General features: G+C 42.1%; 1 protein-coding gene across 10 annotated transcripts in view; it reads right to left on the bottom strand.

The window, feature by feature from the left end:
* ATP8A2 (ATPase phospholipid transporting 8A2) overlaps nucleotides 1-14,889 on the bottom strand; it is a 653,878-nt gene that overhangs the window by 164,861 nt on the left and 474,128 nt on the right. For all 10 annotated transcript variants that reach the window (NM_016529.6, NM_001411005.1, NM_001411006.1 and 7 more), the window contains 2 exons: nucleotides 735-796; nucleotides 131-187 (listed from right to left, as the gene is read on the bottom strand). In NM_016529.6, the coding sequence (NP_057613.4) occupies nucleotides 131-187; nucleotides 735-796 (119 nt within the window). The remainder of the gene's footprint in view (nucleotides 1-130; nucleotides 188-734; nucleotides 797-14,889) is intronic.

The raw sequence follows: 14,889 nt of genomic DNA, 5'->3' as shown, positions 1-14,889 counted from the left end.
ACAATTTTTACACAGAAAATCTGAAAGAAGATAGCCAGATATTGCTTATGGTTTCCCCAAGGCTTAAAAAGAAATCCTAGCATGAAAAATATCTATACTGAACAGAGAAACAATTCTAGAGAAAACTTACTTTAGTCCAAGCTGTGGTCTCCAAACCAGCTTTCAGACAAACAGTAACAACAACATACTGTGAAAATAAAAGACAGTTTGGAAACACATTATTCTCAATGAGTTATTTTCACTTTCCATGAGAAATCCCATCTCTCCACTCCAGAACTAGCTTCCCCAAGGCAGCTCCGGTTTGAAAGCACCAGCCATGTCAGTAGCTAATTCTCTAAGGGTTATTTTCAGGGGACATACAGGCAGATTCACTTCCAGAAGAGCTTTCATTCTAGTAACAGTCTTTCTCATAAATAATAGTTTTGCCCTTTTCTTAGCTTGGGAGATACCACCTTCCTGAGTGTTGTTTTCCTTTGCAGGTAGGTGTAAAATGGTCATTTGAAGAATGGGGAAATCTGTTAACCACCTGCCCAGAAACCTTCACTTGGCATAACCTTCAGAAACGATGATGTAAGCATTTCACAACCATTCTGAACTTTGAAGGATATATAAAATACATTTTGAAGATTTGAAATAAATAATAATAATGAGGAAGGCCCTTTTTAAGGGTTTAGAGAAGTGCAAGCCACACATAAGCTGTTTAAGAATGGCTTAATAAACAGAGATAAACTTACTGTGTAAACAATATTTCCAACAAATAAATAGTCGGTAGCATGACCACTTGTCAACACAGTATCTGAAAAACAAAGAAGTTACTATTAACATCCAAGAAGCTGAGCATGGCCACCTATTTAACTCAGAGCATTAAACAGGGAACTTTAGGAACATCAATCAACTCACAGAGTATTTCAAAATCCCATCCTGTGACTCTAATGCTTACTTCTCTTTCTAATGATGAACTTTTTCATCTTATATTCTCTCCAAATGAAGCAAATAAAGTCAAGCTTCCAACCAACCAACCAACCAAACGCTTGATCTGCACTGAAATTTACATTTTTGTAAACATTAAAATTTATCTTTGTCCAGTTTGTTTTAAAAAAAGGAGTAAGAACATACTCATCTATCTTTATTAAGTGCCATCGATGTTGGGGCTTTTTCCAGGTATTCTTTATGATTCATCTTTACATTTTGCTAAATTGGAATTATGGACCAATAAAAAGATAACTACATGCATATTAAACCAATTCATCATGACTGAACTTGGAAAGAATTTTGGGGGTATTTATTACTCATGTTCTCATCTGCAACTGTATGAGCTTCCGGAGTCTATCACCTGGGGGAACGCAAGCACTCCAATGACAGAAGTTTAGAAAATAGAAGAAGGATTTTAAGCCTCAGTTTTCCTATATTTTCCTTTTTTTTTTTTTCTTTTCAAGGATGGCTATGACTATAACAACCACTAAGGCAGAATGCTAATAGAGTTGTTTCATCATCTCCGCTACACCTGCACAGAGAAGTCTGTTTTTTATCCTGAGTGGTCAGAGCCTATTTTAATATCAGGCTTAGTTTCCTTGGATGACACTGCCAACCTTCCTTTATTCTTATTTCTTTCAACTTCTTCCAACTTTTGTTTTAGATTTTGGGGTACATGCGCAGGTTTGTTACAAAGGTATACTGTGTGATGCTGAGGTCTGGAGTACAAATGACTCTGACACCCAGGTAGTAAGCATAGTACCCAATGGGTAGTGTTTTTTTTTGTTTTTGTTTTGTTTTGTTTTGTTTTGTTTTTGAGACAGAGTCTCGGTCTGTCGCCCAGGCTGGAATGCAGTGGTACAATCTCGGGTCACTGCAACCTCTGCCTCCTGGATTCAAGCAATTCTCTGCCTCAGCCTCCCAAGTAGCTGGGATTACAGGTGCCCGCCACCATGCCTGGCTAATTTTTGTATTTTTAGTAGAGACAGGGTTTTACCATCTTAACCAGGCTGGTCTCGAACTCCTGACCTCATGATCCACCCGCCTCAGGCTCCCAAAGTGCTGGGATTACAGGCGTGAGCCACCGTGCCTGGCATCCCAATGGGTAGTTTTTCAAGCCTTTCCTCTCTCCCTCTCTTGTCAAGTTCTCCGGCATCTATTGTTCTCTTCTTTATGTTCATGTGTACTCAATGTTGAGTTCTGACTTATAAGAGACAACATGTGGCATTTGGTTTTATTCTTTTTTTATACTCAGTTCTGGTCTGTGGCCCGCAGGCTGGGTAGATAAGGATGCTTGTGTTCAAATTTCCAACCAGTAGCTGCTATACATACATATCTGGGCTCGCAGATTTTCCCAATGCTTGTTGAACAATCCCACTCTTATTAGAGAATCAATATCTATTTATTTTCCTAAAACAGCATAATGATGGAGTCATAAGTGGAACTGCAGAAGCATGGGTCTCCGAATCCAGCCCCTGGGCACACACAGTCTCCCGATTCCAGCCAGGTAAATCTGTGGATAAGGGAAGATGAACCAGGAAAGCAACATCACGGGCTGCACTAAACGGAGGCCCCGCTGCTGGGTAAAGTAAGAGTTATATCGGGAGAACGGGGCGAGACATGGCCACTGACTTAAAAAGGAACGGTCTCAAAGCTTAGGGGAGAGGGGACAAGGACAGACTGGAGCTTAGGCATGACTTCATTAAAAGGGAAGGAAGGGAGCAAGTTAAAAAAGTAAAAGAAAGGCTGAATTAATCCCAAGAAGGCAACATGCTGATGTATTAGCAAATAGTTACTCAAAATTGTAGGAGTTCACTTTTCAGGAACTGGCCTTAAGACTGTTTTACTAACAGGTGCAACACTTTTAAATGCCTGCCTCAATGAAGAAATACTTCAGTTTAGTATGGAGACCATCTCTTTGATTCTAACATAGATTATAGCCTTGAAATGAATAAGATTCTTCTTTTATGTACTCAACAAATATTTACTTACAGCCTATTTTATGCCAGGCACTATTATGAAAACCGGGAAGAGAAGGTCCCTGTTTTTATACAGCTTGTGGTCTAGTGAGGAGACAGGACATAAAACCTTAAACAGATACACGATAAAATGTCAGGTGTAATAAGTGCTATGAAGAAATACATTAGCTGCTGGGTGCGGCGGCTCACACCTGTAATCCCAGCACTTTGGAAGGCCAAGGTGGGTGGATCACCTGAGGTCAGGAGTTCAAGACCAGCCTGGCCAACATGGTGAAACCCTGTCTCTACTAAAAAAACAAAAATTAACTGGGCATGATGGCACCTGCCTGAATTGCCAGCTACTCAGGAGGCTGAGGCAGGAGAATCACTTGAACCTGGGAGGTGAAGGTTGCAGTGAGTGATCATGCCACTGCACTCCAGCCTGGGCAACAGAGTGAGACTCTGCCTCAAAAAAAAAAAAAAAAAAAAAGGAAAAAAAAGAAAAGAAAAGAAACATATTAGCCAAGTGTGGTGGTGCTCGCCTGTGGTCCCAGCTACTTGGGAGGCTTGCGGTGGGAGGATTGCTTGAGCTCCGGAGTTTGAGGCTGCAGTGAGCCATGACTGCAACAGTGCACTCCAGCCTGGGTGACAGTGTAAGACCCTGTCTTAATAAAAAATAAGAATAAAACACAGGAGCTATAAGGTAGAGTAATAGCATGGCTATTTTAGATAGGGAGCTCTGGAACAATCTTTCTGAGGAGGTGACATTTGAGCAGATCTGAATGGTACGAGGGAGAGAGTTAAATGGGGATCTACAGGGTGAGTGTTCCAGACAGAGGAGAGAAACTGTGCAGAGTCTGAATGCAGACAGCACTTGATGAGCTCAAGGATCATTACGAAGACCAGTGGGGCTGCAGGCACTGGGAGAAGGAAAAGGAGAAGGCAGACAGTCAAAGGGGCAGACAAATGTGGACCACAGCAAAGAGCTTGGATTTCTTTGTTAATTGTAATAGGTAACCACTGGAAGATTCAGAGCTGGGAATGAAATGGAATAAGTTACATTCTTAAAGGAATAGTCCAGCTTTTATGGGAGAATGGACCATAGATAACCATAAATAGGATAATAATAAATGCAAAGCCAGCTTAGAAATGACTGTAGCAGTCTATCTAAGAGGATGATACTAGTCGTGTTATAACTGTGCAGCCCAATATGGTAATCACCAGCTGCATTTAGTTGTTTACATTTAAATTAATTAAAATAAAATACAATACAAACTTCATTCCTACCTGGGGCTGGGGAGGAAGGGGAGAAGGAGGAGTTATTGCTTAATGAGCACAGAGTTTCAGTTTGGGGTGATGAAAATTTTTGGAAAAACATAGTGGTGATGGTTGCATAACATTCTGTAATTAATGTCTCTGAATTGTATGCTTAAAATGTTAAAATGGAAAAGATGATGTTTTTAACATAATAAAAATTTTTAAAAATGGATCATAGAAACAAAGCTATAAAATCATTTTTAATTGATGTAAATTTAAGGGGTGCAAGTGCAATTTTGTTACATGAATATATGGGAGTGAAGTCTAGGCTTTTAGTGTCTCCATCACCTGAACAATGTGCATTGTATCTATTAAAGAATTTCTCATCACCCTTTCCCTTCCCACCCTCTCACCCTTCTGAGTCTCCAGTGTCTATCATGCCACACTCCATGTCCATGTGTACACGTTACTTAGCTACCACTTATAAGTGAGGCCATGCAGTATTTGACTTTTTGTTTTTGAGTTGTAAAACTATAAAACTCTTATGATAAAACATAGCGATGAATCTTTATCACCTTGGATCTGGCAATGGTTTCTTAGATATGGCACCAAAAGCACAGTGAGGAAAGAAAAATGTAGATGAACTGGACTTCTTCAAAATTAGAAACTCTTGTGCTTCAAAGGACAACACTAGGAAAGTAAAAAGACAACCTGAAAAATGGAAAAAAGTACTTGCAAATTATGTATCTGAAACCTGTATCCAAAATGCACAAAGAGCTCTTACAACTCAACAGTAAAAAGGCCACCCAAAAAATTTAAAAATAGGCAAAGGATCTGAATAGACAGTTTTGCAAAGAAGATATCAAAATGGCCAGTAAGTGCATGAAGAACAGCAAAACATCATTAGCCATCAAAGAAATATAAAATCAAAACCACAATGAGATACCACTTAACACCCACCGGGGTGCCTACAGAAAAACAGACAATAACAAGATGTGGAGAAATTAGATCTTTCATACACTGCTGGTGGGAAAGTAAAACGGTGCAAACCCTGGAAAACTGTGAGGCAGTTCCTCAGAGCGTTATGTACAGTTACCATGTGACCTAGCCATTGTACTCCTAGGTACACATCCAAGAGAAATGAAAACATATGAATGAAACCCACAAAGCCTTGTACTTAAAAGCTATAGCACCATTATTATAATTATTCATAATAGCTTAAAATAATGAATAGCATTATTCATTATTCACAATAGCCTATTTATAACCCAAATGTCCATCCACTGTGAAATGGTAAAATGTGGTATATCAATATGATAGAACACCATTATTAGGCAATAAAAAGGAATGAAGTACTGATACATGCTACAACATGGATGAACCTTGAAAACCTTATGCTAAGTGAAGAAGCCAGACACCAAAGGCCACATATTCCATCTCTATGGAATGTCCAGAAATGGGCACATCTACAGAGACAGACAGTAGATCAGTGGTTTCCAGGTACTGGAGGTGCTTGGGAGAAATGGGGAGTGACTCTTTTTTTTTTTTTTTTTGAGATGGAGTCTTACTCTGTCGCCCAGGCTGGAGTGCAATGGCTTGATCTCTGCTCACTGCAATCTCTGCCTCCTGGGTTCAAGCGATTCTCTTGCTTCAGCCTCCCAAGTAGCTGGGATTACAGGCATGCGCCACCACACCCAGCTGATTTTTGTATTTTTAGTAGAGACGGGGTTTCACCATGTTGGTCAGGCTGGTCTCGAACTCCTGACCTCAGGTGATCCACCTGCCTTAGCCTCCCAAAGTGCTGGGATTACAGGCATGAGCCACCGTGCCCGGCCAGGAGTGATTCTTAATGAATATAGGGTTTCTTTTGGGGGTGATAAAAATGTTCTATAATGTATTGTGATGATGGCTGTACAACTCTGTGAATATATTAAAAACCATAGAATTGCATACTTTCAATGAATTAGATGGTATATGAGTTATAGCCCAATAAAGCTGCTATAAAAACTTCAGTTCCTCAGTCATTTTAAATTCACAATAGCCACATGTGGCTAATGGCGACTGTATTGGGCAGTACAGATACAGAACATTTCCATCCTCACAGAAAGTGCTATTGAACAATGCAGGCCCAGAGTGGCTTGGACAGAAGCCACTTGGAAATATTTTGAAGGTGGAAATGACAGCATTTGGCCAGGCACAGTGGCCCACACCTGCAATCCCAGCACTTAGGAGGCTGAGGCAGGAGGACTGCTTGAGCCCAGGAGTTTGAGACCAGCCTGGGTAACCCTATCTCTATGAACAAATTTTTTAAAAACTAGCCAGGTATGCTGGTGCATGCCTGTAGTTCCAGCTATGTGGGAGGATTCCTTAAGCCCAGGAAGTTGAAGCTGCAGTGAGCTATGATCACACCACTGCACTCCAGCCTGGGTGACAGAGCAAGACCCTGTCTCTTATAAAAACAAACAAACAAACAAAATTTTCTTATGATTTGGATGTAGGGTAGAAAAGAATGTGAGGAATCAAGAAAGTTTTTGGCTGGAGTATGTAGATAAACAGCGGTGTTTGGGATGGAGAAGACTGGTTCTGGTCATATGAATACAGGAAGACATATGAAAACTTGGTACCAAATGATTCATATTTTAAGTTCACGAGAGGAAGAAAAGACAGCAATGAAACATGACCATATTCCAAAACAAAGAAAACATGAGGTGGAGAGAAGGGAACTAGGGTTAGTGGAGGCAGTCCCCGTAATAAGAGTTACAAAACCCAATAACAGCCCTGCTCTCTGTTCCAGCTCTGCCATTATTTCATTTTTTAAAAGTTTAGGTTTTGAGTCTCAATTCTCCACCCATAAAATGGAGATTTTTATATCAGATGCAAATGATGACAACTGAGTTATCTCTAAGGCTCCTATCAGATAGGGAACTCTAAAAGGCTAAGGCCTGTATTCTTAGCTGCTAAATCAGCCTCATGGATTTAACAGCAGAAACTTGAGTCTCAGATCTTCTCCCTCCTCAACATAGCTTAGGATGTCTTTCCTCATCTCCATCTCAACCCATCTGCTCATTAATCCATCTGAATTGAGAAGAGCAATGATCTATGTGCTTGAAGTCCCACCTACATTAGCCCTAAGGGGCCCTAGAGAAAACTCTGATCAGACAAAAGGGTTAGCAGGCATGGGAGACTAAGCTGAAAGTCAAAATTTGTAGCTATGGTTTGACAACTTTTTGAATTTTCTTCTAATACCAATATTTCCAATCTGGTTGAGTCAGGGACTAAAACATACAAAGTATTTGTTTAATAGGGAGGACATAGAACATGTTTCATATTTTATGGATATACACACAATAAACAAAATTTTTAGACATTATAAGAAATTCTATATATATATACATATATATATATATTTTTTTTAGATAGAGTCTTGCTCTGTCACCAGGCTGGAGTGCAGTGGCACAATCTCAGCTCACTGCAGCCTCCACCTTCTGGGTTCAAGCAATTCTCCTTCCTCAGCCTCCCGAGTAGCTGGGACTACAGGTGTGCATCACTATACCCGGTTAATTTTTGAGGTATTTTTAGAAGAGGCGGGGTTTCACCATATTGGCCAGGCTGGTCTCGAACTCCTGACCTCAAGTGATCCACCTGTCTCAGCCCCCCAAAGTGCTGGAATTACAGCCACCGCACCTGACCAAGAAATTCTATGTTTAAAAAATATCTTATATAAACACTTTACACAGTTCTAAGCACTTTACACATATTAGCTCCTTTAATACTTTAGCAACTACATGAAATAGTATAATTATGTGCATATTTCACATGAGGAACTTGGTGCAGCAAAGAGAAGTCAAATATGTTCAAGGTCACATGGTTAGTAAGAAACTGTAATTTTTTTTTTTTCTGAGACTGAGTTTCTCTCTTGTTGCCCAGGCTGTAGTGCAATAGCATGATCTTGGCTCACTGCAACCTCCACCTCCCAGGTACAAGTGATCCTCCTGTCTCAGCCTTTACCATGTTAGTCAGGCTGGCCGCGAACTCCTGACCTCAGGTGATCCACCTGCCTCGGCCTCCCAAAGTGCTGGGATTACAGGCACACACCACTGCACCCGGCCAAGAAACTGTAAATTTTGTAAATGAGAGTTTGTACTAATTAACTGAGTTAGAAAAATGGACTCCTAAGAATGACAGGAGATAATTTCAAAGAAAAAAACAATTAGACTAAGAAGTACTCATTTGAAATACTGACACCTAATGGAAAGGAAATATCCAGGAGAGAACTGCGGTGGACAGAAAATTAGACTCATATGACAGAAATTTTATACCACATAAGGAAGCACAGAAAGTGAACAACTCCGGGAGTGCCAGGAACGCCTGGAGATCTGACCTTTTATTCTGAGTTGGTGTGGACATTTCATTAGCCCAGAGTTTATTAAATGTGGCACTACGGACATTTTGGGCCAGATAATTCTTTGTCTGGGGGCTGACCTGTGCATCGCAGACTGCTTGGTAGCATCTCTGGCTTCCACCCGCTAGATGCCAGTAGCACCCATCCTAGTTGTGACAACCAAATATAACTGCAGACATTGCCAAATGTCCCCTGGGAGGCAAAAATCAATCCTGGTTGAGAACCACTGCCTCAGAGGGAAGAAATAGGAGGAGGTGGAGTAAATACAGAGAACATACACTGAAGACAGAATGTCTAACAGAGAGAATTCTCATCTCTCCCGTCAGACTGAGGAGGAGACATTGGGGTCGGATACAGTCCTCTACGCAATCAGGAGAGAGAACCAATATGAAGAAGCCAGGCATGGTGGTGTGTGCCTGTTATCCCAGCTACTCAGGAAACTGAGGCAGGACGGTTGCTTGAGCCCAAGAGTTTGAGGTTATGATCATGCCACTGCACTCCAGCCTGGGTGACAGAGTGAGACTTAGTCTCTAAAAAAGAAAAAAACATTTTTAAAAGAAAATAAAATAAATAGCATGAGGCATTCGCACAGAGCAACGCAATTCATGAAGCTGGATGGCCTTTACATGAGACAAACTCTTGGATCATTCAGGACTGAATGTTAACCTATGAAGAGAACACCTGCATGGAGGGGAACCCTTAAGACTATGTACCAGAGGCTGGCAATTTGGCAGAACAGCAGAAACAGAGAAATCTAAAGGATGTTTTCTAAATGTAGCTTCTAAAGTTTGACAATGCATTAATTTTTTTTTTTTTTTTGAGACAGAGTCACACTCTGTCACCCAGGCTGGAGTGCAGTGGCGCGATCTCAGCTTGCTGCAAACTCTGCCTCCTGGGTTCAAGCGATTCTCCTGCCTCAGCCTCCCGGGTAGCTGGGATTACAGGTGCCCACCACCATGCCTGGCTAACTTTTGTATTTTTAGCAGAGACGGGGGTTTCACCAAGTTGGCCAGGCTGGTCTTGAAGTCTTGACCTCAGGTGATCTGCCCGCCTTGGCCTCCCAAAGTGCTGGGATTACAGGCGTGAGCCACGGCATCCGGCTGACAATGCATTAATTTCTAACTTGTCATGACAGTGAATGCTACTGGCATTCAATAAAATGCTAACACACAAGGTAATTTGAGCATTAAACTTTAATGAAGATGGGCTAAGCCTAATATTTCAGTTCCTTGTTTTGGAGAGGTAACTCAGCATTGCATTTTAGTTTTCAGTCTAGGAAAGAGTACTTCCTTCCCTAGGCAAAGCTAACACCATCTGGAAATAGTTTATTCCCTTGGAGGAGAAAGTCCCAAACCAAGGTGAGATTCTGGGACTTGCCAAGAGCCTCTGAAAAGATAGCATCCTTCAAACAAGTCACAGTCATCACCCTGCACACCCTGTAGGGAAACCCTGGGGACTAGATGGTTCTGTTTCAACAGTTTTAGAGGCAAACACCTGTGGGTGTCGTTTCTTGTTAAAACCTGCCAATAAGCTACTCCTGGAAAAAAGAAGTCCTAAGAAAGTGTTTGTCATGCAGGTGTTTCCAAGCTACAGCTTGCTGTTAATGCAGGCTGGAAAAGCCCCATTCGATTGTCCAGTTTATTCCTAAAGCAAGTTGCTGACAAAATATTCCTTCCCACTGAGTGAAATCTTAACAGCTCTGTTACAATTCTACCACTCTGAGAGTCTTTCCTGTTTTCACTTTAGTCAGATATTTAAAATCTCAAGTGAATTTTTTCAAAGGGGGACAAAACCCCAAACCGGGAATAGTTGGGTTCCCCAAGCCAGCCTTTGGAACAGTATTTATCTACCGTCTGTGCAAACCATGGTAAGAGCATAATTTCAGAGAAAGTAGTATGGGGGGCAGAGATGGATATTTGGGGTGGGGGTCAGTTGAGAGGGGGAAGAACATTTCAGGCAAAAAGAAAACCAGCCTGTATTGGGCGCGGAGGTGGAAAGGTGAGCTGATGAGGTGGGGGTGGGGCTACAGCGGTGAGGTCAGCAGGGGTCAAATGTATAGGCTCCAAAAAAGTCTCTATAAATAAAGAAATTTATCCAAAGTGCATATGGAGAGATGTGATCTCACCAAACCTGTGTTCTCCAAGAGCCAAGCTCTTCCTCGCAGACACCCGTCACTGGTACACAAAGGCCTAAAGGGCAAGGAGAAAGCTAAGAAGGCTTCGCCTCCCCATCGCATCAGTGGGGCTGGCATTTACCGGAACTAGACTGAGATCAGTTTGCCTTTTGCAAATTCAGGATCAGGTCCAACACTGGTGAGGGCTGAGATGAGACAGGAGGGCATTACCCATCTCAGAAATCCAGAGGACAATTTCTACAGGGTAAACAACAACAACAACAGAAAAGGTAACACAAGTTCTCCATGTGCTTGGTTTGATAAAATACTAAGTCACATTTAGAATGATCTGTGATTGCATGTGATACAAACCTAATATAATGATGATGCTTATGGCATGCATGAAAAGTGTCATAAAATGAGAGAGACAGAAACACAGTCCCAGATGCTCTCTTAGAGACAATTCAGTGTTATGTGTGGCTCCAGGATCCCCTGACCCAAGGCAGCAGGTGAGTCTGTTCTTCCAGACTCCTATCAGTCATGAAATCTGGTTGGGGTTCAGGAACAGACATAACTAACATAGGATTAGCCAAATTAGGTCTGGAAACATAGTCACTAAACCAGCCTACTGTGAACATCTGGGACAAAACCACATGAGCTCTCCAACATTAGTAGTAACAGCCCGAAAATGTTGTCTGCAAAAATCTCTTTGAAAATATTTGTGGGAAAAGCCACAATTTATAAGAAAAGCATGTCTCATTTTCTAAAGAGACAAAATGATCAAGGAACTTATTTCAGAATATTCCAAAGAGCTAGGTTGATGCCATTTTATAAAGATGCCATTTCAATTAAATGCTCATTAAAAACATTACATCATCATCCAGCTAAACCACAAAATGTATTCAGAAATGGCTCTGACAAAGGCAAAATTTCAAGACAATGTTATAACATAGTGGTCAGAAGAGACGGCGTTTAACAATCATGAAAACAGATGGGCTGGATTTACATGTATACTTTTGATTTAGTCAGAATCAGTGGAACACCTGAACTGAACAATGCAGGCATCACACTCATGCAGGGCTCAGGAGGGAGAACTGAGGTAGAGGTGGCACCATTCCCTCAACACCAAGACATCTGCCAAGACATTTTTGTCCAAGAGCAGATACCAAGTTTCTCCTGCTTTTCCTCTCTCCTCCTTTCCCTTCAGGAGCTTCCAGCAGCACTGTTTCAAAGCAGCCGGGATTCCAGAACATTAACTGAGCCAGCCCCCGCCCCCACCTTACTCTCTGGGCCTCTCAAGACTCCAGTGGCTCAGAGGAAGCGCACCCCATCCCAACTAGCAACTTCTAGATTTACATCAAGAGTGAAGATATATTCCAACTTCCAGGACGCTAAATTACAAACTTTCAGAAGTTAACCTGCTATGCCTATAGTGCCTGAACTAGAATTAAAATTATGCTTTCTGCCTCCGACACTATGAATTCATGAAGAGAAAATTTATTTTTTTCCTCCCCGTAAAAAGTAGTATAAAGTATCGGAGGTTGCTTTATAAAAAGCAGGGTTTATACAAGTGTTAGTGATTACAATTACATTCACAACCAGCGCTGCCGGGTGAAGCTCCTGGTTATATAAGCCTATTGCTGGATTTTCTCCTCTATTGCCATTTCTGCTGGATAAAGTTAAGGACATGAAACTCAAATTTCAATCTTTCTCTTTTTTCACTTTTGTTTACTAAAAATAAATCTGAAAAAGGAAGTAAAAATGACGCAAAGTAAACTTGATTGCCAATGCCCAGGCAGTCACCCAGTGAGGCCACACGTGTTTCTTACTCCTGGGTACACAACTAAGTGATATCCCCCAGCACCCCATGCCGTGCTAGGCCCTGTGACTAGTTCTTGCCAATCAGATATGGGCAGAACTGATGGATCTCTTCCTGCCAGATGTGGGTAAGAGCAAATGATCCTTGCCCTGCAAACCATCTTGCCTCTCCCCTCCCAGTGTTGAGGCTGAGGGTGTACTCCATGGAGCCTCACTGTGTTGAAATGAAGCAGGCATAGTTTTAACAGATATGGTAAGACAGGCAGACATGGAATGATTGTCATGGAGGCAGAAGTTCGTACTCACAGATGCTAGAAGCAGGAGGCACAGCATGCCTGGCAAGGCCATGCCAGGTAGCGCCACGGAGCTCAGGAGGTTGGAGAGACGCTGAGCATGGCCCAGGCCTCTACTGGGGTTCTTACAGGGAGGAACAGGTGAGGCAGGGTAGGTATGCTGACTGAGGACACTTAGGATTGTACAATGGGAGTAATTCTGGCAGGCTCAGGGCTGTAAGGATGGTCCCTAGTTGTTGGGTACCTGGCCCTGGGGTGCTGCTGGGCAAAGGGAACACCTGCTCAGTGGGTGAGAGTTTGATAAAGGAGGTGGCTGGGGGTGTGGGCTCGGGCTTGGTTGATTTGTATGTCAAAGGCATGCAGGCAGGGGAGGCATTTGCTAACTTCAGGAATTAGCTAGCCCTGGGAGGACAGTGTCTCCGGAATCAAGGCCCCTAATGCCAGTGCATCAGGAATATGGAAAATAAGAAAAACATACTCAACACACCCGCGAACAATGCACTTCTCCACTGGATAGGGACATGGGTGAGAAATAACTCTTTACTGGGTTAAGCCCCTGAGATTCCCTGGCTAATCCATCTTGATTCAACTTCCTGCTAAGGGTGAAATCTAGGAACTCTGGCTCACACTTCTTACAACATTACACCAAACCCAACTGTCTAAAATACGCGCAACACAGAGTTTATTAAAAGAGACATTGAAACATAAGAAATATTTAACTGAATGAAAACAATGGCCCTTCCAGCCCAATTCTGGGTTTCAGGATGTGTGAGGTGCACTGTCACAATACAGGAAAACAGCTAAAGTCAGAGCTTTACCGCAGTTCATAACTGCGGTTTAAAACAAAACAGAAACAAAAATCTTGCATTTGAATTTGGAAACCTGTTTATATTTTCAATGTACTATGATCGGGTTAGTAACCAGTTATGCAGATTTATGAGTTTTAGTTTCATTTGTACAAATCTGAAAGACTCCCAGAATGTTCTGTGTTTCTAGGTCTTAGGGAGCAAGTTCCACTAACTTCAGGATTTTATGAACTTCCACCACACTCTGTCCTCCCTGCAGGTCTTCCCAGATGGCAGAGGCCACATGGAGTTACTACCCTCTTTTCCTCTCCCATTTAGCATTTAATGCTTGACTCTGAATCTTTTAAATTTATTTTAGATCTTTTCCATGCTGCACATAGCACTGTTGGTGACTTTTATGGGGGAACAAAATGTCAGTGTATTGTTTCACATACCTTACTGTAAAATATGGTATTTTGTTGCTCTTTATGACTGCATTAGCACATTCTCCTGGCGGGTTTAGGACATTGTGCAACCAGGTGGAGAAGGGGATTATTAATTAATGCAATACTGAGTCCTTCTAGCTTTGCCTCCAACCCATCCACTTTTCTCAAGTGCCATGATTGCTACATTAGATCAGCAACAGCCCAGGAACAGGACTCCAATCATTATCCTGGCCTGTGTGGTTATATTACAATAAATCAGACTGCACAGCTCCCTGCTTAAAACCTGCCAATGGCCTTATTACACTTATCCTCCAAAAGGCTCATTTATTCCAAAAGGCCTGGAAAGGTCTGACTTCTCTATCTCCACTCTCACCATCCCAAGGCAATCTGTGTCTCACAATCTGCCCCGCAATATCTCCCCCCAACTGCTTCATGTCATCTTTCTCTTGGAACTATTCTATTCCTGCAACCTGAAACTCTTTCCTCTCTCTCCTCTTCTCCTACCTCATTCCGACTCATCCTTCAACTCTGCTGCCACATCCTCCAGGAAGCAGTCCTTAAAGCTCAGCCCAGGTTAGTTTTCCCTGGAAGACATCCCATCTGAACTTGACCTTCTACTTTGCTAACATTTCCTGTTCAAATCCTGCCTTCTCTAGGTGTCAGTTCCATGAGGGTGGGAACTCCTCTATTAACGCACTACTGTGTCCCCAGAACACAGGAGGAGCCTGGCATAGAGAACATATTCTTTAATCTTTTTTTTTGTTTTGTTTTGGGACTGAGTTTCGCTCTTGTCACCCAGGCTGGAGTGCAATGGCACGATCTCGGCTCACTGCAACCTCTGCCTC

The sequence above is a fragment of the Homo sapiens genome, chromosome 13 (assembly GCF_000001405.40).
Source record: "Homo sapiens chromosome 13, GRCh38.p14 Primary Assembly".
Lineage (NCBI taxonomy): Eukaryota > Metazoa > Chordata > Mammalia > Primates > Hominidae > Homo > Homo sapiens.
Note: the sequence above shows the minus strand (reverse complement) of the source record. Positions and strands in the feature narration are given on the sequence as shown.